Source organism: Homo sapiens, chromosome 17 (assembly GCF_000001405.40).
Source record: "Homo sapiens chromosome 17, GRCh38.p14 Primary Assembly".
Taxonomy (NCBI): domain Eukaryota; kingdom Metazoa; phylum Chordata; class Mammalia; order Primates; family Hominidae; genus Homo; species Homo sapiens.
In genome coordinates this window covers 4,959,226-4,985,183 of record NC_000017.11, presented here as the reverse complement: position 1 = coordinate 4,985,183, position 25,958 = coordinate 4,959,226, and the positions used below count along the sequence as shown (strand labels likewise).

The following is a 25,958-nucleotide window of genomic DNA, read 5'->3' as shown; positions in this document are numbered from 1 at the left end:
ACGGAGTCTCGCTCTTGTTGCCCAGGCTGGAGTACAATGGCGCGATCTTGGCTCACTGCAACCCCCGCCTCCTGGATTCAAGTGATTCCCCTGCCTCAGCCTCCCAAGTAGCTGGGATTACAGGCATGTGCCTCCACGCCCGGCTAATTTTTGTTTGTTTTTTTTTTGAGATGGAGTCTCGCTCTGTCGCCCAGGCTGGAGTGCAGTGGCGCGATCTCGGCTCACTGCAAGCTCTGCCTCCCAGGTTTACGCCATTCTCCTGCCTCAGCCTCCGGAGTAGCTGGGACTACAGGCACGCCACCACACCTGGCTAATTTTTGTATTTTTAGTAGAGATGGGGTTTCACTATGTTGGCCAGGCTGGTCTCGAACTCTAGACCTAGTGATCCGCCCATCTCGGCCTCCTACAGTGCTAGGATTACAGGCATGAGCCACCACGCCCGGCTGGAACCTTTGTTATTAACCACCACTGATACTGGCTCTTTCTGGAGGAGGCACAGTCCTTGTGTTACACATTTTCTGTATTCTGCATACTTACTGCCTTGTATGTAGTTGGTTGTTGATATTTATCAATTTGATGTCAGAAGAGGACTGTCAGTAAAACGATGCGTGTATGTGTGTATGTGTGATTGTTGTAAGTGCTATAGAGCGTTTAGGAAGGTCCAGTGTGGTCAGCAGGGCTTCATGGAGCATCTGAAAAGGGGTTTGGTTTATAGAATGGCTATGATTTCCAGATATGGAGAGGTGTGCACATGGTACCTGCCTTGTAGGGCACTAACATGCAGGAGGTAACTATTCAAAGCATGTTCAGGAAGGAATCAATGGATCCATCTGGCAGGAATTGTAGGAGCAATATGGGTAAATAGTGGGAACAGTGAAAGTTTGATCCCTTGTTGGGAAGAACCTTGGAGTCAGGCTAAAGAATCTGAAACTCCTGCCAGGCACAGTGGCTCACGCCTGTAATCCCAGCACTTTGGGAGGCTGAGGCGGGTGGATCACGAGGTCGGGAGATCAAGACCATCCTAGCTAACACAGTGAAACCCCGTCTCTACTAAAAATACAAAAAATTAGCCGGGCGTGGTCGTGGGCGCCTGTAGTCCCAGCTACTCAGGAGGCTGAGGCAGGAGAATGGCATGAACCCAGGAGGAAGAGCTTGCAGTGAGCCGAGATGGCGCCACTGCACTCCAGCCTGGGTGACAGAGCGAGACTCTGTCTCAAAAAAATAAATAAATAAATAAATAATCTGAAATTCCTGGCAGTGTCAAACCACTGAAATTTTTTGAGTCAGGAAGGGGCACAGAGGCCAGGAGTGGTGGCTCATGCCTGTAATCCCAGCACTTTGAGAGGCTGAGGTAGGCGGATCACCAGAGGTCAGGAGTTCAAGACCAGCATGGCCAACATGGTGAAACCCCGTTTCTACTAAAAATACAAAAATTAGCTGGGCACGGTGGCAAGTGCCTGTAATCGCAGCTACTCTGGAGGCTGAGGTAAGAGAATTGCTTGATCCTGGGGGGCGGAGGTTGCAGTGAGCTGAGATCATGCCATTGCACTCCAGCCTGGGTGACAGAGTAAGATTCTGCCTCAAAAGAAAAAAAAAAAAGTCTGGGCACGGTGGCTCACGCCTGTAATCCCAGCACTTTGGGAGGCCAAGGCGGGTGGATCACCTGAGGTCAGGAGTTCGAGACCAGCCTTACCAACATGGTGAAATCCTGTCTCTACTAAAAAAAATACAAAATTACCCGGGCATGGTGGCGCATGCCTGTAATCCCAGCTACCCGGGAGGCTGAGGCAGGAGAATTGCTTGAACCCGGGAGGCAGAGGTTGCAGTGAGCTGAGATCGCGCCATTGCACTCCAGCCTGGGCAACAAGAGTGAAACTCCATCTCAAAAGAAAAAAAAAGGGGCACAGGAATGAGATTTTTGGAGAGTAAAATAATTCACAAAAAAATGTTAGACTTTTGTCTTAGGACAAAAGAAGGGTTCTTAGGAGGGCAGTGGGTCTTGCTGGGTCCAGATACCTAGAAGCATCCTCCACTAGCTGCCAGAACTCAGCAGAGAGTGAGACACTGACAGGATGACCAAGAGGCCAGGCTGAGACTCTCTGTGAAGGAGATGCCCAGCTGAGTGCCTCCTCTCCTACAGGAGATTGCATCCTACCTGATCACCTTTGAGAAGCATGATGAGTGGCTGTCTTGTGCCCCAAAGACAAGGTGAGAAAGTTTGAGAACATGGGGGAGTGGCAGGGGTCCTGGGTTCTGTTCACAGAACTCCAGGGCAACCCTTCCCTTCCCAGGCCTCAGAATGGCTCCATCATCCTCTACAATCGCAAGAAGGTGAAATATCGGAAGGATGGTTACCTCTGGAAGAAGCGGAAGGATGGGAAGACCACCCGAGAGGACCACATGAAGCTGAAGGTCCAGGGCATGGAGGTAAGAGAGTCAGATATTCAGCTCATCTTCCCGAGCCTGCCCTCCTCCACCCTTAGCTGGGCTCTAGCCCGACCTGGGCTTGGTGGCATTGTCCACCTCAGTCCCCTCCCAGTTACTCTTCCCTTCTCACTCACTTTGGGTCGGCTGACATTGCTTTGGCCACTCTCCACTTCCCATTTCCCTCCGTGACTCAACTATCCAGGCCGTAGGCCATGCCTCCCTTCCAGAACACTGATGCCCAGGCCCCTCACTGCTCTTGTGTTTCCCTCAGGGATCCCAGCAATGATGCTCTCAGCACAGGTTTCTCTTCCCCAAATCATTGCCCCTCATCTCAGATGCATTCTTGCTCTGCCCTCTGGTTTCTAGATAGTCCCGTATCTCAAATCTGGTCCTCACTATAAGGCCCCAGCCCCACTGCTCATCTATGACTCAGGGTGGCTGGGATTCAAAAGGGGTGGGGAATAGGTGGGGGCGAGGGTGGGGGAAGGGTTGAAGAGGAACTGGTGGAAAGATTGGGATTCCTGCAAAGGGACTGAACAGAGGAAGAGTTGGGGAGCAGACTAGCCCTCCCCCCACCCCAGCCTGTCTCCTGGCAGTGTCTCTATGGCTGCTACGTTCACTCTTCCATCGTCCCCACATTCCATCGGCGCTGCTACTGGCTGCTCCAGGTAAGGACGGAAGAGCCCAGGGAGCCACCCTCTTCCTGACTCTTTGAGGGACACGGGTCTGAAAGAAGGAAGTGAAAGGATGGCTGAGTTCTGAGTGAGGAAAGGAGCCTGGGAAGAAGAGAAAGGGGCTTGGGGATGGAGAGAGTCAGAAATTGGGGGCGAGGTTAGGAGGGTGCCCAGGAAGAAAGTGAGGATTAGGAAGCCAAGCCCCTGGACCTCAGGACCCCATGGCTCTGTGTGTCCCCTTATACTCTCAGAACCCTGACATCGTCCTTGTGCACTACCTGAACGTCCCAGCCCTGGAGGACTGTGGAAAGGGCTGCAGCCCCATCTTTTGTTCCATCAGCAGCGACCGTCGAGAGTGGCTGAAGTGGTCCCGGGAGGAGTTGTTGGGACAGCTGAAGCCCATGTGTAAGGCAGCAGGGTGGGGATAGAGCTCCAAGGGGAGAGTAGAAACAGGGCTCCCAGAGGGGCCATGGTTCTGGACCCAAAGCCTGAGGGCTGATCATCTCCCTCCAAGCTGGGAGGGTGCTAGGATTCCCGGTGTGTTCTCAGGTATTAGAATACGGAGAAAGGACTAAAGCAACATATCTGAGCAGTCTTGAGGCTGCTGGCCTCTGTTCACCTGGCCAGAAGTCTTGAAGCATGTCAGGTGCTTGGAGGAGCCATCAAGGTACTCTGGGGCCTGTTTCGTGGGGATCCCACAGCACTTCCCCCTAACTTCTCTAGTTCATGGCATCAAGTGGAGCTGCGGGAATGGAACAGAAGAGTTCTCTGTAGAACACCTGGTGCAGCAGATTTTGGACACCCACCCAACCAAGCCTGCTCCCCGAACCCACGCCTGTCTCTGCAGTGGGGGGCTTGGTAAGTTACTCCCTGACCTTTTGGCTGTCTTCCCACCTAGCCACACTGCTCTTACGCAAGCCAGGGGGATATCCATCTTGATGGGATTTGCATGCTGATTTGCAAGTCTTTTGCATGTCCCAGAAAGATGGGCCAGATGAACAGACGTTCCCATCTGGGTGCACACTGGCTCGGAATCAGCCTTGCACTCAGCTGTCATGGCAGCCTCTGCCCTTCCTGTCTTCTACCTTCAGCAATTCCTGTCCCCTCAGCACCACCAGTGACACCCAGCCTTAGCCTTCCTCCTAGTTGGCACCCCCTTGGTTCTGTTCTTTTGTCCTTTTCCTATGCCTTTAACTTTTGCTTTTAGCTACTCTCCCAAGCCCTCAGTTCTCTGGAGCGTTCCTCTGGTCCTGCTTGTTTTGAGGGGAAATGGAGAGGGGGAGGGGGAATAAAGGGTAGGGGTAGAGAACAGACATTTCTGATGCCTCCCAGTGGCTACAATCAGTATTACACCTCTGGTTTATAGGGACGTCCCAGGAAATACTTTTAAGGGCCTCAAGGTAGAGAAGGTGCGGAATGATGTGTCTTATCTCCTCTCCCTCCTACTCCTCTCCACTCCAGGTTCTGGGAGCCTTACCCACAAATGCAGCAGCACGAAACACCGCATCATCTCTCCCAAAGTGGAGCCCCGAGCTTTAACCCTGACCTCTATCCCCCACGCTCACCCCCCAGAGCCTCCTCCACTGATAGCCCCACTTCCCCCAGAGCTCCCCAAGGCACACACCTCCCCATCTTCTTCCTCTTCTTCCTCCTCATCAGGTTTTGCAGAGCCCCTAGAAATCAGACCTAGCCCTCCCACTTCTCGAGGGGGTTCTTCAAGAGGAGGCACTGCTATCCTCCTCCTGACAGGACTGGAGCAGCGGGCTGGAGGCTTGACGCCCACCAGGCACTTGGCTCCACAGGCTGATCCTAGGCCTTCCATGAGTTTGGCAGTGGTTGTAGGCACTGAGCCTTCTGCCCCACCAGCTCCTCCCAGTCCTGCCTTTGACCCTGATCGTTTTCTCAACAGCCCCCAGAGGGGCCAGACATATGGAGGGGGGCAGGGAGTAAGCCCAGACTTCCCCGAGGCAGAGGCCGCTCATACCCCCTGTTCTGCCCTAGAGCCTGCTGCTGCCCTGGAGCCCCAGGCAGCTGCTCGGGGTCCCCCACCACAGTCAGTAGCAGGTGGGAGAAGAGGAAACTGCTTCTTCATCCAAGATGATGACAGTGGGGAGGAGCTCAAGGGTCACGGGGCTGCCCCACCCATACCTTCACCCCCTCCCTCACCCCCACCCTCACCTGCCCCCTTGGAGCCGTCAAGCAGGGTAGGAAGAGGAGAGGCCTTGTTTGGAGGACCTGTTGGGGCCAGTGAACTGGAGCCCTTCAGTCTTTCATCATTCCCAGACCTTATGGGAGAACTCATCAGTGACGAAGCTCCAAGCATCCCTGCTCCGACCCCCCAGCTGTCTCCTGCTCTTAGCACCATCACAGACTTCTCCCCAGAGTGGTCCTACCCAGAGGTGAGACTCAGGCTTACCTCCTCCCTCCTCCCTCCTATTTGTCTTCTGACTCCCCAAAACAAATTGTATTAACTCTTACCCCGTGGTCTGTGACCTAGTTTCCCTCAGTTTTCATGGCTTCTTAGGCTTCTTAGTCCTCTACCTAATCTCTCTCTTTTTTTTTTTTTTTTTTTTTGAGACAGTTTCGCTCTTGTTGCCCAGGCTGGAGTGCAATGGCACAATCTTGGCTCACTGCAACCTCCGCCTCCCGGGTTCAAACGATTCTCCTGCCTCAGCCTCCTGAGTAGCTGGGATTACAGGTGACCGCCACCACGCCCGGCTAATTTTTGTATTTTTAGTAGAGATGGGGTTTCACCATGTTGGCCAGGATGGTCTCAAACTTCTGACCTCAGGTGATTGCCTGCCTCGGCCTCCCAAAGTGCTGGGATTACAGGTGTGAGCCACCGTGCCCAGCCGCCAATCTCTTTTTTTATGTAGAGTGAAGCTGCTTTCCTGTTTCCAGAGTCCTCAGCAACTTAACCTTTTTTCTGTTCCTCTCCCTTCCATGTGTTAGCATGGTTTCTGGAGTCTCCTAGGACCTCATTCCCTTCCTGACTGTTTTCAGGGGTAGGGAATTGGGGCTGTGCAGCCTGGAGAAGAAAAGAAACATCAGGGATGTGATTGCAGACTTTGAGTAGCTGAAAGACTGTCTTCAGCAGTGGAGAAGTTCTGTTTTATGCTGCCTTTGAGAGGAAAAGGAGGAAGTACAGTGGGGGTGAATTAGCCCAAGAACAGAACTTCCTTCTGGTGACAGCTCTGTGGTAGCTTTGGGGGAGGCCCTGAATTCCCAGCTACTGGCAGATTCAGGTAGAGACCAGGCAACCACTTGGCAGGAATGTTGGGGAGAGATAGACTCACTGACCTCACCCCACTGGGTCCTGTCTATCCCTGGACCCCCAGACTCTAGCACAGGACCTGCCATATAGTAGATACCCTGTAAGGGTCTGAATAAATGAATGAGTGAGGGGATGAACGCCCAACTCCAGTCACATGGTCTCTGACTTCTGTCTGCAGGGTGGGGTCAAGGTGCTCATCACAGGTCCTTGGACCGAAGCCGCCGAGCATTACTCCTGTGTCTTTGATCACATCGCAGTGCCAGCCTCACTTGTCCAGCCTGGTGTCTTACGCTGCTACTGTCCCGGTATGAGGATTGGGAACCGTAGGGGGAGGGACTGACATGTGGGCAGTTAGGACAGATCAGGACCTCCAGGCTTCCAGAAAGCACTGGGAACAAATGGGTTGTTTTGAGAGCACAAGGACTTCATCCAGTCCTGAGGTTGAGCCCCAAGCTCTCCCAGCAGGCAGAAGAGCCCAGACTTAGGTGTCAGAAGATCGAGGTTCTGGTCCAAGAAGTCTACTCCTTAGCTAACCAGTGACCTCAGATGAGTCTGATCCTTCCTGAGGTCCTTGGCCTCCTCTCCTGTAAGGTTAGGCATTGACCAAAGGGATTTCTAATGTCTGTCCAGGCTTTCTGGCTTAGAGCCAGAGTCTCCAACTCCAATCCAGGGGGAATGAGAAAGAAGAAATGTGGGTTTCCTCTAACCAGTCTTGGGACTGAAGGACATTGGCTTTTAGAACTGTGCTGTCCAGTATGGTAGCCATTAGCCACATGTGCCTATTAATTAAAGTTAAAGAATACTTAAAATTCACTTCCCCAGTCTCACTGACCATGTTTCAAGTGTTCAGTAGCCACACATGGCTCGTGTTACCCTATTGGATAGTGACGATATAGAACATTCTTGTCACTGCAGAAATGTTCTATTGGACAGCACTGGTCTAGACTTCATTGCCAAGGTTCATCTCTGCCCTTTTGCCACCAGCTTTGCCCTTACCCTACACTCAAAAATCAGCCTTACTAGGGGACCTCAAGGACCACCAAAGTGACAGGTTGGCAGCTTTGCTGTCTACGAGTGTGTTCTCCCCCAGTCTCTACAGCAGCATCCAGCATGTGTGTAAGGAAAGGGGATGAGACCAGAGAATCTGGGGACTGGGAGAAAAAGTCTCAGCACCTGGTCTTAGGATCAGGGCCTGCTGGTTCCATGCTTATGGCCACTGGACACTGTTCATGAGCGGCTAGCTCCCCTTTCCTCCATCTCAGTAACAGGGTCATAACTTCCAGACTCTGATCCGGGGATCAAGAGGATTTTCCAACATCAAATTGTTCATAACTAGTCTCTTGACCCTCAGTTTCCAAACCTTCTTGCTGAATAACAAATATCTTCAACTACAGGGTCTAGAATCCAAGGGATCTCTGGCCCATAGTACGTATTAAGTTCTCAAACAAATGGACTCCCTTCCCAGTTAGTGCCAAGGCCACTGAAGCCAGGGGCCTCTTGGCCCACAGCAGGGCAGTAGGGGAAATAACTATGGAATAATTGTCTGTGGCTGACACAGGTAGCCAGAGAAGGAGCCAGGGAAAGAGAGCCCTTCTCGCTGATCCTACCCTCTCCAGCCCATGAGGTAGGGCTGGTGTCTTTGCAGGTGGCAGGGCGGGAGGGGCCCCTTTCTGCTTCTGTGCTCTTTGAGTATCGAGCCCGCCGATTCCTGTCTCTGCCTAGTACTCAACTTGACTGGCTGTCACTGGACGGTGAGTACCCAGCCCTCTGAACCCAAGTATCCAGCCCACAGCCTTTAAGCATGACATGCTCCTAGACCACTCAGGGTTCAGGTGGCCATCACTGAGCCCCCACTTTACCATTTTTTTTTTTCAATTCCTATTTCATTAGTGATTTCTAAATGTGGCAGCAAACTTCCCTTACCTCCTCTTCCCCATAAATCTTGGGGTCATTTTTATACCAGTTCTTGACCTGCCTTCTCCATCCCAAAGGGTGGAATCTAGACAAGGAAGGCTAAGAGGCAGGGCAGGGACAGGGTCTAGAGCAATATATAGGTGCTATGCACAAGTTTATGTACTTATTTATTATTTATTTTTCTCTTCTTTTTTGAGACGGAGTCTTGCTCTGTCTCCCAGGCTGAACTGCAGTGGCGCGATCTCAGGTCACTGCAACCTCCACCTCCTGGGTTCAAGCAATCCTCCTGCCTCAGCCTCCCAAGTAGCTGGGATTACAGGTGCCTGCCACCAAGCCTGGCTAATTTTTTGTGATTTTAGTAGAGATGAGGTTTCGCCATGTTGGCCAGGCTGGTCTCAAACTCCTGACCTCAAGCAATCCACCCCGCCTTGGTCTACCAAAGTGTTGGGATTACAGGCGTGAGCCACCACACCCGGCTGTACTTATATATTTAAATTTCTATTGTTTTTCCTTTTCTGATATAAAGACGTGTTCATTAACAGAAATTTGGAAATTACACAAAAGCACAAAATAGAAAATAAAAATTTCTGGCTGGGCGCGGTGGCTCGTGCTTCTAATCCCAGCACTTTGGGAGGCCAAGGCGGGTGGATCACCTGAGGTCAGGAGTTTGAGACCAGCCTGGCAAATATGGTGAAACCCTGTCTCCACTAAAAATACAAAAATTAGCCAGGCGTGGTGGTGGGTGCCTGTAGTCCCAGCTACTCAGGAGGCTGAGACAGGAGAATTGCTTGAACCCGAGAGGCGGAAGTTGCAATGAGCCAAGATTGTGCCACTGCACTCCAGCCTGGGCGACAGAGCGAGACTCCGTCTCAAAAAAAAAGAAAAAAATTTCCTATACTACTACTTCTCAGTGATATCCATTGCTAATAACATGGTGTACTAACACAAACATAGAGGCACATACATACGTGTATCTATGTGTGTGTGTATTTATTTATTTAAATCTGGGAGTTTTTGTTCCTGTTACTGGTTCTCTCTCTTGTGGCCTTGAACATTGTTTCTGTCTGCACCTGCTGCTTTCTGCTTTCTCAAGGTTAGCTTTTCTCTATCTCTTCCTCTTGGTGTCTTTGTTGTTGCCTCTTGGCTTCTCTCAGTTCTGCTGCCATCTGTGTTATCTTAGTCTCCCTCTGTCCTTACTTCTCTCTCTCCGGAGCTCTGGTCCTTAGTTTCGCCTCACTCTTGGAGCTGGACCCCACACAAAGCCCGAGTGTGTTGGGTTGCTTGTCTCTGACTTGAGTCTGCCTACCTTGGGATCTGGCCAGGCCTCTCAGTCCTGTTCTGTCTCTGTCCTGCCCTGTGACTGTTCATCACCTTATTTCTCTGTCCCTGTCTAATCTACGTTTTACCGTCTCTCCTATGAGTCTCTTCCATCCCTCTTCTTTCCATTTCTTCTTGAACCAATATCTTAACTTGCCTGTCTTTTATCGTCCTTTCTTACTGCTTGTTTGGCACTTTTCCCCCAGCCCTCCTTTGTCCTTTCTCTCCTCTCCTTCACTTTATCTTTTTTGCTCTCTCTCCTCCCTTTGTTTTCCTTGGGTTTCTGTTCATCATTCTCTGTCCTCCTATCACCTGTGTACCTTCATCCCCTTCTATCCTGGCATCTCAGAACATCTCCAACCTTCACCGTTTGTGTCTGTTTTCCTACAGCTCTGATCCCCTCCTGCCTCCCCTTCTTGTCCTTGTTTGATCTCAGGAGGGGACAGATATAGCTTGGGGGGATATGTGTGTACGTGCGTATTTGTATATGGGGCGGGGAGGAGGAGGAGGAGAAATGGACATGGCTATATGGCTATCCATCTCTGTCACCTTCCGTCCCCCACCATCGTCTTTGTGGACAGCTGCGGGGGGCTGGGAGGAAGGGGAGGTACTTTTCAAATCACAGTCCCTGAGCTTTTTGGGGCAGTGGTTATTAAAAGGGAGGGACCCTGGAATCCTTCACCTTCACCATGGGGGACAAAGGTAGTGTCTGCTGCAAAAATTGACAGAACATTTTGCCTAGGAAAAGGCTGGGGGGAAGAGTGTGTACGGGTGGGATTTGGGACATCTGGAGGCTGGATGACCATTTGGGAATCCTACTACCTCTGTACCTTGAAGGAAACAGTTTTGGTTCCAGATCTGGGTTCTAGATCAGTGGGTAGTATTAACAGCCCTAGTTTAAGGACTGAGTCCTGGTGGGCTTTATTTAGGTGAAGGGGTAAAGGAGCTGTTGTTTTGGGGAAGATAAAAGAATATGGTTCTGTGTCCTCATCCCCAGATCTTGGGACAGGTCTACTTTTGGTGTTCAGGGCATCACCTAGACTGCCCACTCAGCCTCCCATACCCGTTCCCCCTCAGACAACCAGTTCCGGATGTCCATACTAGAGCGACTGGAGCAGATGGAGAAGCGGATGGCAGAGATCGCAGCAGCTGGGCAGGTGCCTTGCCAGGGTCCTGATGCTCCTCCAGTTCAGGTACTTCTGTGAGGAGGGAGGTGGTCTACGGTGGGGAGCAGGGGGAGGACACAGCTAAAGAAAACATCTAGTGCCCATGACTCTCCTCCCTCTCCTGTCCCCAGCCTCCTCAGCCTGTCTTCCCTCTCCCTGACGTCACCCTGTTCCCATCCCCACCTTGTGGCAAGAGTGGCTATTCTGGGCACCCTCTTGGCATGACGGGCTTCAGACTATTTCTGGTCTGAAGAAGGGTGGAGGTGAAGGAGAGGGCGGGGGAGGGGTCAGGAGCACTGGGGCTCAGATCTCTGTGGGTCCCAAGTTTCTGAAAGAAGAGGGCTAAGGCTCAGAGAAGGCTCTGGCTTCTGAGGGGGAGAAGCCATGTGTGAACATGGCACTAATCTGAGCTGATGGGAAGGCACATGGGCAAGATTGTGTGAGGTCTGGCTGCTGGAGGAAGTGGCTGTGGGAGCAAGAGACACAGGCCACAGAGGAACTTCAACTGATGGGATCCTAGAGTGGGACATGTGGGGAGGGGGCAAAATTAGAAGCTGGGAGGACAGATGTGAGGTGGCCAAGGCCACCTCAAGCCAGGGGAGTAGATACCTGGGTCTCTGCCTAAGAGTGTGTATATCGCAGGATGAAGGCCAGGGGCCTGGGTTCGAAGCACGGGTAGTGGTCTTGGTAGAAAGCATGATCCCACGCTCCACCTGGAAGGGTCCTGAACGTCTGGCCCATGGAAGCCCCTTCCGGGGCATGAGCCTTCTGCACCTGGCTGCTGCCCAGGGCTATGCCCGCCTCATCGAGACCCTGAGCCAGTGGCGGTGAGCAAGGGCAGCTGGGTGAGGGCTGGGCAGCCTCTGGGACAGAAGTGTCAGGGGACTGAAGAGGAATTGGAGGACCTGGGGCCCTACCAAGAGGGAGTTGGGGTCATTGTGGGAAGGGAGGGGGTTGGGAGAGGACTTATATTTTGGGGAACTTTCATATCCTGACTTACAACACTTTGACTTCTTGACCTCCTTAAGCTAGTGTCCTTGACTGCCTCTTCCCACCGGCCCTGTACAGCTTGCCTCCTAGTGCCTTTACTTCTGATGTTCCTGCTTTGCCCACTTTTTCCCTCATTGGGCTCTGCTGTCTCTCTCCCAAACCCTCCAGGAGTGTGGAGACTGGAAGCTTGGACTTAGAGCAGGAGGTTGACCCGCTCAACGTGGATCATTTCTCTTGCACCCCTCTGGTGAGGATGACGGATTCCTGAGCGCATATGGGGCAGGGAGCAATGGGAACAGCCCTTGAAAAGGAAGATCCTGAGGAATGCAGGGAGTGGGGTGGGCTGGGGCCTGAAGACCTGACTACCTGGAGGAAGAGCCCCTGGCCTCACCTCCACCTCCGTCTCCGCCTGTCCCGCCCCCTTCCTCAGATGTGGGCTTGTGCCCTGGGACACCTGGAAGCTGCTGTGCTCCTTTTCCGTTGGAACCGACAGGCACTGAGCATTCCCGACTCTCTGGGCCGTCTGCCATTGTCTGTGGCTCATTCCCGGGGTCATGTGCGCCTTGCCCGCTGCCTTGAGGAACTACAGAGACAGGAGCCTTCGGTGGAGCCCCCATTTGCCCTATCGCCACCCTCCTCCAGCCCAGACACTGGTGAGGGTGGCCCTAATCTTTTGGAGAGAGGGATGTAGGTAGGAGGATAGGCCAGGACAAAGCCAAAGGGTGTGGGAAACGAGTAAGAGAGGAGACAAACCACAGAGGCAGGGATGGGAGATAACAGAAGCAAGAACAGACGGGGACCGAGAACAGGATGGGGAAGGCAGGAGACTTGAGCGAGGGATGGCCGTGGCTCCGGCTGCCCTCACTCTCTTCCCTCCCCACACAGGTCTGAGCAGCGTCTCCTCGCCCTCGGAGCTGTCGGATGGCACCTTTTCCGTCACGTCAGCCTATTCTAGTGCCCCAGATGGCAGTCCCCCCCCTGCACCTCTGCCAGCCTCTGAGATGACTATGGAGGACATGGCCCCAGGCCAGCTTTCCTCTGGTGTCCCAGAAGCCCCCCTACTCCTCATGGACTATGAGGCTACCAACTCCAAGGGGCCCCTCTCCTCCCTTCCTGCCCTCCCACCAGCTTCAGATGATGGGGCTGCTCCAGAGGACGCTGACAGCCCACAGGCTGTGGATGTGATCCCGGTACTGCTTATATTGATGGAGTTATGGGGGCTAGAAGTGGAGTAGGAAGGGTGAGGCCGACTTCCATGAAGCAGAATCAAAGTCTGGCTTCAGTTTAGGAAGGGCCTATTTACTTCATTTTGGGACAGGCAAGGTAGCCTTTTGCTTAGCTCCTTTTAGACCATGTGACTTGGAAGTCATGAGGCAGCGGAGGTTGAAAATTCTGGCTGGTCCCACAATACAGATGTTGGAAAAAAAAAATTTGGCCGGGCTTGGTGGCTTACGCCTGTAATCCCAGCACTTTGGGTGGCCAGGGCGGGTGGATCACTTCAGGCCAGGAGTTTGAGACCAGCCTGGGCAACATGGCGAAACCCCCTCTCTACAAGAAATACAAAAATTAACTGGGCACTGTGGTATGTGCCTGTAATCCCAGCTGTTTGAGAGGCTGAGACACAAGAATCACTTGAACCCAGGAGGCACAGGCTGCAGTGAGCCGAGACTGCACCACTGCACTCCAGCCTGGGTGACAGACTGAGACTGTCTCAAAAAAAAAAAAAAAAAGACAAAATAGTAAGATTTAAAATATAAAAAGCATTAAAAAATATTCTGGCTGGGTGCGGTGGCTCACCCCTGTAATCCCATCACTTTCAGAGAACGAGGTGGGAGGATCACTTGAGAACAGGGGCTTGAGACCAGTCTGGCCAACATAACAAGACCCCATCTCTACACAAAATAATTTTTTAAAAATAGGCATGGTGGCACACACCTGTAGTTGTAGCTACTTGGGAGGCTGAGGTAGGAGAACCCCTTGAGCCCAGGAATATGAGGTTGCAGTGAGCTGACTGTGCCATTGCATTCCAGCCTGGACAAGAGACCCTGTCTCTATAACAAAAATTCTAGGGAATATCTTCAGTTAGAGCTGGTTTGTAGGAGTTAACCGTTGATCTATGTAGGGACAAGGTTCTAGGAGAACCAAGATGACGGAGGGCAGCTGGGAGTTGTGTGGAGAGGTAAGGCTGGCAAGATGAGGGTATTTGGCAGTGATCTGATGCAGGAAGGAGGCTTGCACATGATAAAGCTAAGAAAGTCTTGTGGAATGAAAGTGAATCTTCAAGTATAGCCTTGTACTTCTCTGATAGAGACTGGGGACATACCTGCTTTAGAGAGACTAATGGAGTAAGTGGGTGGCACTTTAAGTACAAAAAACTTAGGGAACTCCACAAGTAGGTTGTGTTGAGTGTGTCCAGCAGGAAGTGCTGGAGTATAGGCTTCAGGGCTGGAGCAAAGGCCAGACTGGAGCCATTCATCCGGGTAGTAGTTGGCAAGTGTTGGAATGGTTCTTGGAGAGTTGAAAGGGAGCTGGGGGTGGGCACAGCCAAGCCTATGGGGAGCATGTGCTGGTCAGCTGGCATGGGGCAGGCCCAGGTAGGACAGTGGATGGTTGGCCTGAAAGGGTGTCAAGTCCTCCATTTGTTCAGCTTTGAATCCCCACTTGGAGTATCTCCTTTTTATCCTATATTCTCCATAGCATCTCAGCACAGAGGGACCCCCAAGTGGGAGCCCCATCAGTATAAATGAATGAGTCTGGAACAGTGGCCCAGAAAGACAGGGTTAGCAGCACCTGGCAGGGAGAGAAGGAACAAGATAGGAATGGACTGAGGTTACAGCTGGCAGCTGGGGCCCCTAAGGACTCACTCAGCTTCTCCCTTCTTCCAGGTGGACATGATCTCACTAGCCAAGCAGATCATCGAAGCCACACCGGAGCGGATTAAACGAGAGGACTTCGTGGGGCTGCCCGAGGCTGGAGCCTCAATGCGGGAGCGGACAGGGGCTGTGGGGCTCAGTGAGACCATGTCCTGGCTGGCCAGCTACCTGGAGAATGTGGACCATTTCCCCAGCTCAACCCCTCCCAGGTGACTAGCTCAGGACAAAGCCTCCAGATTCTTCAAAGGAAGATGGGAGGAAGGGAGAAAGCTGGCTTTCCCACAGCCAAAGCTCCATTCTGGCTGAGGCCCCAGGGCCTTGGAGAAGCGAACTGAACTGGCTGATGAACTCTGAAGTCACTCTCCAGACTCAGTTGCTGGTGGTTTTCCTTCGTAGCCATCCATAGGTGGCAGAGGAGGGACTTCAGATGCTTCATGACACCCTCTTTCCCTACCGCCTACAGCGAACTGCCCTTTGAGCGAGGTCGCCTGGCTGTCCCTTCAGCACCCTCCTGGGCAGAGTTTCTCTCTGCATCCACCAGTGGCAAGATGGAAAGTGATTTTGCCCTGCTGACACTATCAGATCACGAGCAGCGGGAACTGTATGAGGCTGCCCGAGTCATCCAGACGGCCTTCCGAAAGTACAAGGTCAGGGGCAGGGGTCTCAGGATGAATTACACAATCTCCAGTCAGGGGAGACTGGGCTCCCAGGGCTTTTGGAGGATGAGTAGTCGTGCAGACAGGCCTTGGATGGGGTAAAGGGTCAGGGGAACCCCAGGAAAGTTGAAGGGACAAGTCAGATATGCCATTATGTGGGTCATGAGGTGGTGAGACTTCTCTCCCTTCAGGGCCGGCGGCTGAAGGAGCAGCAGGAGGTAGCAGCAGCTGTAATCCAGCGCTGTTACCGGAAGTACAAGCAGGTGAGACCCTTCTCCCTCAAAAGTGTAACCAGCAACCCACCAACCCACACCCACGCCTAACCATTCCAGAATGTTGCCAGAGCCCTAACTCCCCTTCTCTCTCCACAAGCTGACCTGGATTGCACTTAAGGTATTAGGCATGAGCTCTGAGTGTGAGGTCTGTGATGATTCAGTCTTTCCTTGAGTGTGTGGGTTACAGAGAGTCTTGCATCAGCCTAACTTGGGTGAGCCTCAGGGCTTTGGGTCTCCGTCCCTCTATTTCAGCCCCTGTCCCTCCTCCCCACCCCTGCAGTTTGCACTCTATAAGAAGATGACCCAGGCGGCCATCCTGATCCAGAGCAAGTTCCGAAGCTACTATGAACAGAAGCGATTTCAGCAGAGCCGCCGAGCGGCTGTGCTCATCCAGCAGCACTACCGCTCCTACCGCCGCAGGCCCGGCCCTCCCCACCGGACTTCGGCCACCCTGCCTGCCCGCAACAAGTAGGGCCCAGCCCCAGCCCTCTGTGCCCACCCACTGCATCCACGCCATTCCCCCTTACTCATCCTCTTGATCATCATGCCTCACTGCCATTCCCTGCCTAGGGTTCCTGGGGGGGCCGAAGGCATGCGATGCCTTCTGTGAGGTCCATCTTTTGTTTCTTTCACCAGAGGCTCCTTTCTCACCAAGAAGCAGGACCAGGCAGCCCGGAAGATCATGAGATTCCTGCGGCGCTGCCGACACAGGTACTCATCCCTTCTCCCCCTGGGCTTTTGCGTTGCCACCCGTCGTGATCCGCCAGTCTCCTCTGACTCCTATCTTTCTCTCTGCAGGATGAGGGAACTGAAGCAGAACCAGGAGCTGGAAGGGCTTCCCCAGCCGGGACTGGCCACATGACCTGGCCACCGCCTTTCTCACCACCCTGGGGGCGCCTCGTGCAGTCTTAACAGGGAGAGGGCTTTCTGGGGCAGGGGGAGCCCCTGTCGGCAGCTTTCCTGTTCACCTTTGTTGGAGCCCTCTGTAGGCCTCCTCCCTCCTCCCCACGCCTTGCTCCCACACCCCTCTCCTCGTCCCTCCTGGTCGTGCCCCGTCTCTTTTGGTCCTGGCTCCAGAAAACCCGCGCCCCACATACCTGCATCTTCCGCTGTGACCTCCGGAGCCCTGCCTGCCCCTGCTCCCCAGCTCCTCCTGCCTGCACCCGACTCGGCCCCCTCCTGACTTGCCTTATTTATTTGTTCGACGCGTCTCTGAATGTATCCGCCTCGGTTCCCACCACTGCCTTCGCTGCGCACGCCCCTCGTGTTTCAGGGCTGACCGTGTCCCCACCCGACTCCGCATGTTTGCGTCTGTTTCCTCCCTCTCTGGCCCTGTCTTACCCCATCACCCGACTCTGGCCACTGACCTCAGGGCCGAAGGGGAGGTGGTGTACATAGGAACGCGTTGCGGAGTCCGCCCCGTCCCCCGAGGGGAGGGGTCTTGTACATACTGTAACATACAGAGTATAGTGAAGAATCTATTTAAGGCGCCGCGGGGAGGGCTGCACGGCCGGGCTTGTGGTTCTCTAGCGCGGCGGGGGCCTCCTGCCGGCTCCACGGGCACTTTCTACTTGTGCATGGGCTTGGTTTATACGAATTGCCATTAAACATCGCTGCACCAGCCAGCCTCCGGCCTCTGTCTGCGGGGGCGGGGCGGGGCCTAGGCCAGCTGGAGGCCGCCATGCACCGCGGGCCTGGGATCTGCGCCCAGGCCAGGCGGGCCCAGGGTTTTCCGCCTCCGACGTGTTTCCGGCCTTAAAGGCATTCCGCCCTTCCCTTTAAGACGCACCGCCCCCTCTCAGTCACTCCCAAGATGGCGGACCTACTGGGCTCCATCCTGAGCTCCATGGAGAAGCCACCCAGCCTCGGTGACCAGGAGACTCGGCGCAAGGCCCGAGGTGAGGATCCCAAATTCACAACCGCCTTCCTTCGCCCGGTTCTCGGGACCATACTTCTCCCTCTTTGGACGATGCCGCCTCCTCAACCTTGAAAGACCCCTCACAGGCCCCTTCCGAGACCCTCAGAGTCCCTAAAAGGGCTGCTGACACGCCCGCTGTTCTTAGCGGACAGTGATTGGCTACCTGAAAGATAGCGCCAGCCTCCTGCCTCTTCTCCCGACCCTGGCCTTCCGCAGTCCTTGTTTCCCATTAGCCGGCCGTCCCGCCTGTCCGCTGCTGACCTGGTCTGATTGGTAGGGTGCCTCCAACCTGCCGCATTCCTGCCCCGCTCACCTCTAGCTCTATTTCGATTGGATTTAGGACACGCCATCTACTGTGCCTTCATCTCTATTGGCTATCTCAACTTAAAGCTCTGCCTCCTCAGGCCTGTTCGACCTTCCTTCGAAACCACCCCAGCCTGCGAATTCCCATTGGTTGCAGGGTCCTCTGTGTGTTCTTGCCCCTCCTGCTTAATTTAACCCAGTCCCTTCTGCCTCCCTCCGACAACCTTTTTCCCATCCGTAGCCTTAAATTCCCGAGCTGCCCGGGCGGATCGTAGTGTTGATTGGAGGGATGAGAATACCCGCCGGGTCCGATTGGCCACTGTCTCCGCCTGCGTTCTCGGAGTAGCTTCCCTGCGGGTGGGCTGGAGTTCGGCGGCCGGCGTAGGGCGCGGCCCTGCAGGGCGGTGGGAGCCTCCCCGGGGCTGCTCGTGTTGCAGCTTGGGATGATACTGGCGGAACGCAGGACCCCAACTCCCAAACCTGCGGACCTTGACCACGGACGAGCCCTGTCCCAGCTCCCCACGTGCCCCAGGGGGACCAGAGCAGGCAGGACGCCTTCCAAGTATTCAAGGGCCGCTGGTTGCCTACGCTTCGTCCCCTTGTTTCTTGAACAACCGTTAGGGACCAGGGGTACCCCTCAGGGAGGCCACAGTCCGGGGCTGGGGCGCTCATTGATGCAGTGATCACACGTAAGTTTAATAACCAACTTGATAAGTGCTCTGAGAGAAAAATAACTGTGAGAGCGGCCACCTGAGGTTCTCCCCCAATCTGCAGTGAGCCGAGATCAGAACAGGTAATTCCGTAAATGAGAGAGAGAAGCAAAGCGTTACAGGCAGAAGAGTCTATTTGAAATCTCTGAGAAAGGAGGAAGCATGATGGGAATGGGGAACTGGAATTCTCTAATGCTCCGATGACTGTCTAAGTGGGGGATCACCCGGCATTGACAGACTGGGAAGCTTAAATGAGTCACTCGCCTGAGGTCACATGGTTAGTTTGGTAAGTGGCAGGGTTTCAAACCCAGGTATGACTGGGCTCGAAGCCTATGTTCTTGACCATAATCTTGTGCCACTTCTCTAGATGCAGAGAAGACTCGAAAACCAGTTAAAGAACAGTCAGTGGGGCCCGGCCTTGTAGCTCACACCTTTAATACCACCACTTTGGGAGGCCGCGGCGGACGGATCGCTTGAGCCCAGGAGTTCAAGACCAGTCTGGGCAACATGGAGAAACCCCATCTCTACAAAAAATACAAAAATTGGCCGGGCTCACGCCTGTAATCCCAAAACTTTGGGAGGCCAAGGCGGGCAGATCACGAGATCAAGAGATCGAGAGCATCCTGGCCAACATGGTGAAACCCCGTCTCTACTAAAAATACGAAAATTAGCTGGGCGTGGTGGCGCGTGCCTGTAGTCCCAGCTACTCAGGAGGCTGGGGCAGGAGAATCAGTTGAACCCAGGAGGAGGAGGTTGCAGTGAGCCGAGATTGCGCCACTGTACTCCAGCCTGGCGACAGAGCGAGACTCCGTCTCATAAATAAATAAATAAATAGATAAATAAATAAATAAATAAATAAACATTAGCTGGGCTTGGTGGCGCGCTCCTATGGTCCCAATTCTCGGGAGGCTGAGGTGGGAGAATCGCTTGAGTCTGGGAGGTTGAAGCTGCAGTGAGAGGTGATTGCGCCACTGCACTCCATTTTGGGCGATGAAGTTGAGACTGTTTCCAACAACAAAAGATGAAATGCGCTGATGGTCAGTGAGGACAGAGGGATGAGAGCTCATAAGCTGTCAGGCCCTGGGGCTCCAGAGGATAACTGAACAGTAGATCAACAGGGTCCCTGCCCTCCAGGAGCTCATACTATGCTGAAGGAGACAAAAAAAAAAGAAGTTATGATACGTTAGTTCTCTGTCTATGCTGCTGGGTGTCTCAGCCAAAGGAGCTTGGAGCCCAGGGGAAGAAGTAACTGACTCACGGTAGATCTCAATGTTTGCAAGAGGAGGAAAAGCATTCCAAGCAGAGGAACAACGTGTGCAAAGGCATGGAGTTATTTGAAAAATGGGGAGAGGGCTCATGCCTATAATCCCAGCACTTTGGGAGGCTGAGGCGGGCAGATCACTTGAGGTCAGGAGTTCAAAACCAGGCTGGCCAACATGGCGAAACATCGTCTCTACGAAAAATACAAAAAAATGGGCGGGCGTGGTGGCTCACGCCTGTAATCCCAACACTTTGGGAGGCTGAGGCGGGCGGATCACCTGACGTCGGGAGTTCGAGACCAGCCTGACCAACATGGAGAAGAAAGCCCATCTCTACTAAAAATGAAAAAATTAGCCAGGTGTAGTGGCACATGCCTGTGATCCCAGCTACTCGGGAGGCTGAGGCAGGAGAATCACTTGAACCCGGGAGGCAGAGGTTGCAGTGAGCCAAGATTGCACCATTGCACTCCAGCCTGGGCAAAGAGAGCGAAACTCCATCTCAAAAAAAGAAAAAGAAAAAAAAAATTAGCCGGGTGTGGTGGTTCACACCTGTAATCCCAGCTACTCGGGAGGCTGAGGCATGAGAATCACTGGAACCCGGGAGGCAGAGGTTGCAGTGAGCCGAGATCGCGCCACTGCACTCCAGCCTGGGCACACAGCGAGACTCTGTCTCGAAATAAATAAATAAATGATGGGGAGAGGTTCAGTGCAGCTGGAGAGGATTCAGATCCTGGGGAAGAAGGAGGCCTTAAAGATGTAAAGGATTTGGCCGGGTGCGGTGGCTCACGCCTATAATCCCAGCACTTTGGGAGGCCGAGGCGGGTGGATCATGAGGTCAGGAGATCAAGACCATCCTGGCTAAAACGGTGAAACCTTGTCTCCACTAAAAATACAAAAAATTCTCCAGGCGTGGTGGCGGGCGCCTGTAGTCCCAGCTACTTGGGAGGCTGAGGCAGGAGAATGGCGTGAACCCGGGAGGCGGAGCTTGCAGTGAGCGGAGATTGCGCCACTGCACTCCAGCCTGGGCGACAGAGCGAGACTCCGTCTCAAAAAAAAAAAAAAAAAAAAAAGATGTAAAGGATTTGAAATGGCAAAAGAGAAAAAAATTTCAGGCTGAGGAGCAGGAGTAGGAAGAAGCATGCACCCAAATCTCTAGAGGTAGTAAAATCACATCGTGGGGAAGACAGGCAAGCATGGAGGGCCCGGGTTAGAAATTCTTCCTCCTCCTCCAGAGGCAGAGGGGATCTGGCGCAGAGGCAGGATCTAAGGAAGAGGAAGAAAGTTAAATAAGACCCTTAGCCAGGCGAGGGGACTCACAGCTGAAATCCCAGCACTTTGGGAGGCTGGTCTTGAACTCCCAGCCTCAAGTGATCCTCCCACCTCGGCCTCTCAAATTGCTTGAGAAGCTTGAGTCTCTGCACCCAGACCTGGCTAATTTTTTTAAAAAAAGTTTTCTGTAAAGATGGGGTCTCGGGCATCTTCAGGCAAGAGGCAGGCAGATACCTTGAGCCCAAGAGTTCAGAAAAAGAAGACCCTTCACAGCTAACCTTGGACACCTACACTCCCAAAGGAGAAGGGTGTCAGATTATCTATTTCAGCTTCATCCTGTCTATAGAAGTGGGAAGTGGGGGATTTTACAAAATATAGAAAGTTAAATAATTTCCCCTTTCCAGCTGGGCACGGTGGCTCAAGCCTGTAATCCTGGCACTTTGGGAGGCCGAGGCAGGTGGATCACAAGGTCAGGAGTTCGAGACCAGCCTGGCCAATATGGTGAAACCCCATCTCTACTAAAAATACAAAAATTAGCTGGGCGTGGTGGCACATGCCTATAGTCCCAGCTACTCAGGAGGCTGAGGCAGAAGAATCGCTTGAACCCAGGAGGCGGAGGTTGCAGTGAGCCAAGATCGTGCCACTGCACTCCAGCCTGGGCGACAAAGCGAGATTCCATCTCAAAAAAAAAAAAAAAAAAAAAAAAATTCCCCTTTCCTGTGTAAACGAGATGACAGACTCTTTGAGGCCAGGGTCTTAGTCTGTTTTCCTCACCTTCCCAGATGCATTATGGTTTGTTTTTGTTTTTGTTTTTGACAGGGTCTTGCTCTGTCACCTAGACCTCTCAGGCTCAAGTGATCTTCCTACCTCAGCCTCCCGAGTAGCTGGGACTACAGGCATGCATCATCATGCCTAATTCTTTATTTTTTATAGAGACAGGGTCTCACTATATTGCCTGCACTGGTCTGGAGCTCCTGGCCTCAAGCAGTCCTCCCACCTTGGCCTTCCAAAGTACTGGGATTACACACGTAAGCCACCACGCTCAGCCCAAACATTTATTTAATGCCCACAATGTACAAAGAACTAACTATAGTCCAGGCATGGTGGTTCACACCTATAATCCCAGCACTTTGGAAGGTCAAGGTGGGAGGATTACTTGAGGCCAACTGGAGACCAGGATGGGCAACAAACTGAGACCCCATCTTAACAGAAAACTTAAAAAAAAAAAAATTAGCCAAGGCTGGGTGCAGAGGCTCAAGGCTTTCAAGCAATTTGAGAGGCCCAGGTGGGAGGGTTATTTGAAGCCGAGTTCGAGACCAGCCTGGGCCCACACTTGTAATCCTAGCACTTTGGGAGGCTGAGGCGGGCGGATCACGAGGTCAGGAGTTCGAGACCAACCTGACCAACATAGTGAAACCCCGTCTCTAATAAAAATACAAAAATTAGCTGGGTGCTAATTGCACCCAGCCTGGGTGACAGAGTGAGACTCCGTCTCAAAAATAAAAATAAAATAAAATAAAAATACCATCCTGGGCAACATAGTGAGACCTCATCTCACAAATATTTTTAATTATTTTTTAAACAGTAGCTGAGCATGGTGGCACACGCCTGTGGTCCCAGCTACTTGAGAAGCTAAGGTAGGAGGATCCCTTGAGCCAGGGAGGTCAAGGCTGCAGTGAGCTGTGATTGTGCCACTGCACGCCAGCCTAGGCAATAAAGTGATATCCTGTCCCAAAAATAAATAGGCCGGGTGCAGTGGCTCACGCCTATAATTCCAGCACTTTTGGGAAGGTGAGGCGGGGGGATCACTTGAGCTCAGGAGTTCAAGACCAGCCTGGCCAACATGGTGAAACCCCATCTCTACTAAAAATACAAAAATTAGCCGGGTGTGGTGGCACATGCCTGTAATCCCAGCTACTTGGGAGGCTGAGGCAGGAGAATCGCTTGAACCTGGGAGACGGAGTTTGCAGTGAGCTGAGCTCATGCCACTGCACTCCAGCCTGGGTGACAGAGTGAAACTCCATCTCAAAAATAAATAAATAAATAGATATTTGTTAATTGGTTTCCCCAGTGGAGTTGGGAAAGGGGGTTAAGCATTATTCTGATCTTTGTCACTCCCACTAAACTGGGAGCTCTTGAAGGGCCACATTGTGTCTTAATAATCTCAGTACTTCAGGGTCTCGCCTGGTGCCAGATACAGTAGTCCCTACTTCTCCCTTATCCAAGGTTTTGCTTTCCAAGGTTTTAGTTACCTGCAGTCCAGAACTGTTATATACAGTAAGATATTTTGAGAGAGAGAGAGAGCATAGCCACAAACTTTTATTTCAGTACATTGTTATAATTGTTCTATTGTATTATTGTTATTCTTAATCTCTTTTTTTTTTTTTTTTTTTTGAGATGGAGTCTTGCTGTGTCGCCCAGGCTGGAGTGCAGTGGCGCCATCTCTGCTCACTGCAAGCTCCGCCTCCCAGGTTCACGCCATTCTCCTGCCTCAGCCTCCCGAGTAGTGGGGACTACAGGCGCCCACCACCACACCCAGCTAATTTTTTGTATATTTTTTTTTTTTTAGTAGAGACAGGGTTTCACCGTGTTAGTCAGGATGGTCTCGATCTTCTGACCTCATGATCCATCCACCTTGGCCTCCCAAAGTGCTGGGATTACAGGTGTGAGCCACTGCACCCGGCCATCTCTTTTTTTTTTTTGAGACGGAGTTCACTCTTGTTGCCCAGGCTGGAGTGCAATGGCGCGATCTCAGCTCACTGCAATCTCTGCCTCCCAGGTTCAAGCGATTCTCCTGCCTCAGCCTCCCCAGTAGCTGGAATTATAGGCGCCCACCACCACACCCGGCTAATTTTTGTATTTTTAGTAGAGATGGGGTTTCACCATGTTGACCAGGCTGGTCTCGAACTCCTGACCCCAGGAGATCTGTCTGCCTCGGCCTCCCAAAGTGCTGGGATATAGGCGTGAGCCACCATGCCTGGTCTATTATTCTTAATCTCTTACTGTGCCTAATTTATAAATTAAACTTTATCATAGGCATGTATGTATAGAAAAAGACATAGTATGTATAGGGGTCAGTACTATCCACAATTTCAGGCATCCACTGAGGGTCTTGGAATGAACCCCTGTGGATAAGGGGGACTATTAGATAGAATAAACATCAATAAATGCTTGATGAATAAACGCTAATCCTACCTTCCCAGCCTGACACCTCCCAGTGGACACCACACTTCACTTGAAGCCTTAGAAACCTTTCCCACCCATGCTTCCAGCCCTGGCTTCATGTTGCCATTTCTCACCCCCAGAACAGGCCGCCCGCCTGAAGAAACTACAAGAGCAAGAGAAACAACAGAAAGTGGAGTTTCGTAAAAGGGTGAGAACAACTGGAGTGATCAAAGGCAGACTCAGGAAGGACTTCCAATAAGTTAAAATTGGAAGGTTGAGGACTCAGTTTTGCTGAAAATGTCTTGAGAGAGGTGACGCATGGAAGCCAGTGGCTTGGAGGCTGGGGAGGGTGCTGGGGAGGCGTAGAAGGGCCCAGGCTCAGCTAGGGAGAGGGGTACTTGGGTGGAGCCATTGTCTCATATCTGCTTCCTTTCCCCTCTCCCAAGATGGAGAAGGAGGTGTCAGATTTCATTCAAGACAGTGGGCAGATCAAGAAAAAGTTTCAGCCAATGAACAAGATCGAGAGGAGCATACTGTGAGTGTCCCTGGGCTGGGGGAGGAAGGAAATGGGTGGCTAGCGGGGCATGAAAGGGCCAGCGGGGGGCTCCTCCAGAGGAGGGCACTAGGCCCGCTCCTGGCTCAAGATGCTCTTTCCCCTCTGCCATCCCATCCCAGACATGATGTGGTGGAAGTGGCTGGCCTGACATCCTTCTCCTTTGGGGAAGATGATGACTGTCGCTATGTCATGATCTTCAAAAAGGTAAAGGGCCTGAATTCCTCATTCTCTCCTCTCCCCTTTGTAGCCTTATCCCCCCTCCCCGACCAAGGAATGAAATGAAACATTTGTATGGACTCTGACCCCATCATTCTGCTCTTCTTCAGGAGTTTGCACCCTCAGATGAAGAGCTAGACTCTTACCGTCGTGGAGAGGAATGGGACCCCCAGAAGGCTGAGGAGAAGCGGAAGCTGAAGGTGAGCTATGCTTTGCAGCCCTTGGGGTCCAGAAGCCCACCACCTGGGAGGGGTGGGGGTTTGGGCTGGGGCCCTGAGCACCAGTGCCCCCACTTTCACCCCTAGGAGCTGGCCCAGAGGCAAGAGGAGGAGGCAGCCCAGCAGGGGCCTGTGGTGGTGAGCCCTGCCAGCGACTACAAGGACAAGTACAGCCACCTCATCGGCAAGGGAGCAGCCAAAGACGCAGCCCACATGCTACAGGCCAATAAGACCTACGGCTGTGGTGAGGCCACAGTGCGGCTGGGGGTGGCTGGGAGAGGAGCATAGGATGCGGCAGGAGGGCAGTGGAGGCTGAGGTACGGATTTCTAGGCCCGCCCTACCCTCCTCTCTGCCCCTAGTGCCCGTGGCCAATAAGAGGGACACACGCTCCATTGAAGAGGCTATGAATGAGATCAGAGCCAAGAAGCGTCTGCGGCAGAGTGGGGAAGAGTTGCCGCCAACCTCCTAGGCGCCCCGCCCAGCTCCCTTTGACCCCTGGGGCAGGGCAGGGGGCAGGGAGAGACAAGGCTGCTGCTATTAGAGCCCATCCTGGAGCCCCACCTCTGAACCACCTCCTACCAGCTGTCCCTCAGGCTGGGGGAAAACAGGTGTTTGATTTGTCACCGTTGGAGCTTGGATATGTGCGTGGCATGTGTGTGTGTGTGTGAGAGTGTGAATGCACAGGTGGGTATTTAATCTGTATTATTCCCCGTTCTTGGAATTTTCTTCCCCATGGGGCTGGGGTACTTTACATTCAATAAATACTGTTTAACCCAA

General features: G+C 52.8%; 2 protein-coding genes, 2 long non-coding RNA genes and 2 other non-coding genes across 17 annotated transcripts in view, besides 10 other annotated features; 5 read left to right on the top strand and 1 right to left on the bottom strand.

Annotated features, from left to right (window-relative positions):
• Window positions 1-17,187, top strand: part of CAMTA2 (calmodulin binding transcription activator 2) — a 19,679-nt gene extending 2,492 nt beyond the window's left edge. For 2 of the 12 annotated variants that reach the window (NM_015099.4, XM_011523747.4), the window contains exons 4-23: window positions 2,141-2,208; window positions 2,292-2,427; window positions 3,024-3,095; window positions 3,353-3,506; window positions 3,825-3,959; window positions 4,563-5,500; window positions 6,554-6,680; window positions 7,992-8,126; window positions 10,684-10,799; window positions 11,415-11,599; window positions 11,931-12,009; window positions 12,193-12,415; window positions 12,648-12,952; window positions 14,648-14,844; window positions 15,099-15,282; window positions 15,483-15,554; window positions 15,664-15,684; window positions 15,847-16,034; window positions 16,203-16,277; window positions 16,365-17,187. In NM_015099.4, coding sequence (NP_055914.2) covers window positions 2,141-2,208; window positions 2,292-2,427; window positions 3,024-3,095; window positions 3,353-3,506; window positions 3,825-3,959; window positions 4,563-5,500; window positions 6,554-6,680; window positions 7,992-8,126; window positions 10,684-10,799; window positions 11,415-11,599; window positions 11,931-12,009; window positions 12,193-12,415; window positions 12,648-12,952; window positions 14,648-14,844; window positions 15,099-15,282; window positions 15,483-15,554; window positions 15,664-15,684; window positions 15,847-16,034; window positions 16,203-16,277; window positions 16,365-16,428 — 3,474 coding nt within the window. In that variant the 3' untranslated portion in view covers window positions 16,429-17,187. Of the gene's footprint in view, window positions 1-2,140; window positions 2,209-2,291; window positions 2,428-3,008; window positions 3,096-3,352; window positions 3,507-3,824; window positions 3,960-4,562; window positions 5,501-6,553; window positions 6,681-7,991; window positions 8,127-10,683; window positions 10,800-11,414; window positions 11,600-11,930; window positions 12,010-12,192; window positions 12,416-12,647; window positions 12,953-14,647; window positions 14,845-15,098; window positions 15,283-15,482; window positions 15,555-15,663; window positions 15,685-15,846; window positions 16,035-16,202; window positions 16,278-16,364 lie in introns of those variants that run through there. The other 10 variants (XM_006721478.5, XM_011523746.4, NM_001171166.2 and 7 more) reach the window with 8 other exon arrangements.
• On the bottom strand, window positions 10,503-11,470 carry LOC124903901 (uncharacterized). Its single transcript, XR_007065588.1, has 2 exons — window positions 11,382-11,470; window positions 10,503-10,824 (listed from the first exon to the last, which is right to left on the bottom strand). It is a non-coding gene; the product is annotated as an uncharacterized LOC124903901 (long non-coding RNA).
• Window positions 15,034-15,098, top strand: MIR6865 (microRNA 6865). Its single transcript, NR_106925.1, has one exon. It is a non-coding gene; the product is annotated as a microRNA 6865 (primary transcript).
• Window positions 15,123-16,322: an enhancer, noted in NCBI's record as "BRD4-independent group 4 enhancer chr17:4872157-4873356 (GRCh37/hg19 assembly coordinates)". NCBI's record gives its function as "activates an origin of replication core promoter dependent on BRD2, P300/CBP, MED14 and CDK7 cofactors, and independent of BRD4, by STARR-seq in HCT116 cells {active_cell/tissue: HCT116}" and the evidence as "EXISTENCE:reporter gene assay evidence [ECO:0000049][PMID:35650434]".
• Window positions 15,123-16,967: a biological region, named in NCBI's record as "BRD4-independent group 4 enhancer GRCh37_chr17:4872157-4873356".
• MIR6864 (microRNA 6864) lies at window positions 15,413-15,482 on the top strand. The gene has a single exon (NR_106924.1). It is a non-coding gene; the product is annotated as a microRNA 6864 (primary transcript).
• Window positions 15,613-16,289: an enhancer, noted in NCBI's record as "H3K27ac-H3K4me1 hESC enhancer chr17:4872190-4872866 (GRCh37/hg19 assembly coordinates)". NCBI's record gives its function as "activates a minimal SCP1, AML or CMV promoter by ChIP-STARR-seq in primed H9 embryonic stem cells {active_cell/tissue: H9 hESC(primed)}" and the evidence as "EXISTENCE:reporter gene assay evidence [ECO:0000049][PMID:30033119]".
• Window positions 16,290-16,967: an enhancer, noted in NCBI's record as "H3K27ac hESC enhancer chr17:4871512-4872189 (GRCh37/hg19 assembly coordinates)". NCBI's record gives its function as "activates a minimal SCP1, AML or CMV promoter by ChIP-STARR-seq in primed H9 embryonic stem cells {active_cell/tissue: H9 hESC(primed)}" and the evidence as "EXISTENCE:reporter gene assay evidence [ECO:0000049][PMID:30033119]".
• Window positions 16,968-17,644: an enhancer, noted in NCBI's record as "H3K27ac hESC enhancer chr17:4870835-4871511 (GRCh37/hg19 assembly coordinates)". NCBI's record gives its function as "activates a minimal SCP1, AML or CMV promoter by ChIP-STARR-seq in primed H9 embryonic stem cells {active_cell/tissue: H9 hESC(primed)}" and the evidence as "EXISTENCE:reporter gene assay evidence [ECO:0000049][PMID:30033119]".
• Window positions 16,968-17,731: a biological region, named in NCBI's record as "H3K27ac hESC enhancer GRCh37_chr17:4870835-4871511".
• Window positions 17,142-17,221: a silencer, noted in NCBI's record as "silent region_8058". NCBI's record gives its function as "represses an Ori minimal core promoter by ATAC-STARR-seq in GM12878 lymphoblastoid cells {active_cell/tissue: GM12878}" and the evidence as "EXISTENCE:reporter gene assay evidence [ECO:0000049][PMID:35858748]".
• Window positions 17,232-17,731: an enhancer, noted in NCBI's record as "active region_11563". NCBI's record gives its function as "activates an Ori minimal core promoter by ATAC-STARR-seq in GM12878 lymphoblastoid cells {active_cell/tissue: GM12878}" and the evidence as "EXISTENCE:reporter gene assay evidence [ECO:0000049][PMID:35858748]".
• Window positions 17,367-25,958, top strand: SPAG7 (sperm associated antigen 7). Its single transcript, NM_004890.3, has 7 exons — window positions 17,367-17,464; window positions 24,331-24,398; window positions 24,637-24,725; window positions 24,866-24,950; window positions 25,073-25,162; window positions 25,268-25,424; window positions 25,541-25,958. The coding sequence occupies exons 1-7, from the start codon at window positions 17,380-17,382 to the stop codon at window positions 25,648-25,650; spliced, it is 684 nt and encodes a 227-aa protein (NP_004881.2). The 5' UTR covers window positions 17,367-17,379; the 3' UTR covers window positions 25,651-25,958.
• LOC124900387 (uncharacterized) lies at window positions 17,471-19,362 on the top strand. Its single transcript, XR_007065587.1, has 2 exons — window positions 17,471-18,783; window positions 18,865-19,362. It is a non-coding gene; the product is annotated as an uncharacterized LOC124900387 (long non-coding RNA).
• Window positions 17,645-18,322: an enhancer, noted in NCBI's record as "H3K27ac hESC enhancer chr17:4870157-4870834 (GRCh37/hg19 assembly coordinates)". NCBI's record gives its function as "activates a minimal SCP1, AML or CMV promoter by ChIP-STARR-seq in primed H9 embryonic stem cells {active_cell/tissue: H9 hESC(primed)}" and the evidence as "EXISTENCE:reporter gene assay evidence [ECO:0000049][PMID:30033119]".
• Window positions 19,001-19,678: an enhancer, noted in NCBI's record as "H3K4me1 hESC enhancer chr17:4868801-4869478 (GRCh37/hg19 assembly coordinates)". NCBI's record gives its function as "activates a minimal SCP1, AML or CMV promoter by ChIP-STARR-seq in naive and primed H9 embryonic stem cells {active_cell/tissue: H9 hESC(naive and primed)}" and the evidence as "EXISTENCE:reporter gene assay evidence [ECO:0000049][PMID:30033119]".

Coding starts and splice junctions, on each gene's coding strand:
- SPAG7 (NM_004890.3), top strand. CDS start 17,380: ATGGCGGACCTACTGGGCTCCATCCTGAGCTCCATGGAGAAGCCACCC. Junction 24,951..25,072: donor ATGTCATGATCTTCAAAAAG/GTAAAGGGCCTG, acceptor GCTCTTCTTCAG/GAGTTTGCACCCTCAGATGA. Junction 25,425..25,540: donor CAATAAGACCTACGGCTGTG/GTGAGGCCACAG, acceptor CTCTGCCCCTAG/TGCCCGTGGCCAATAAGAGG.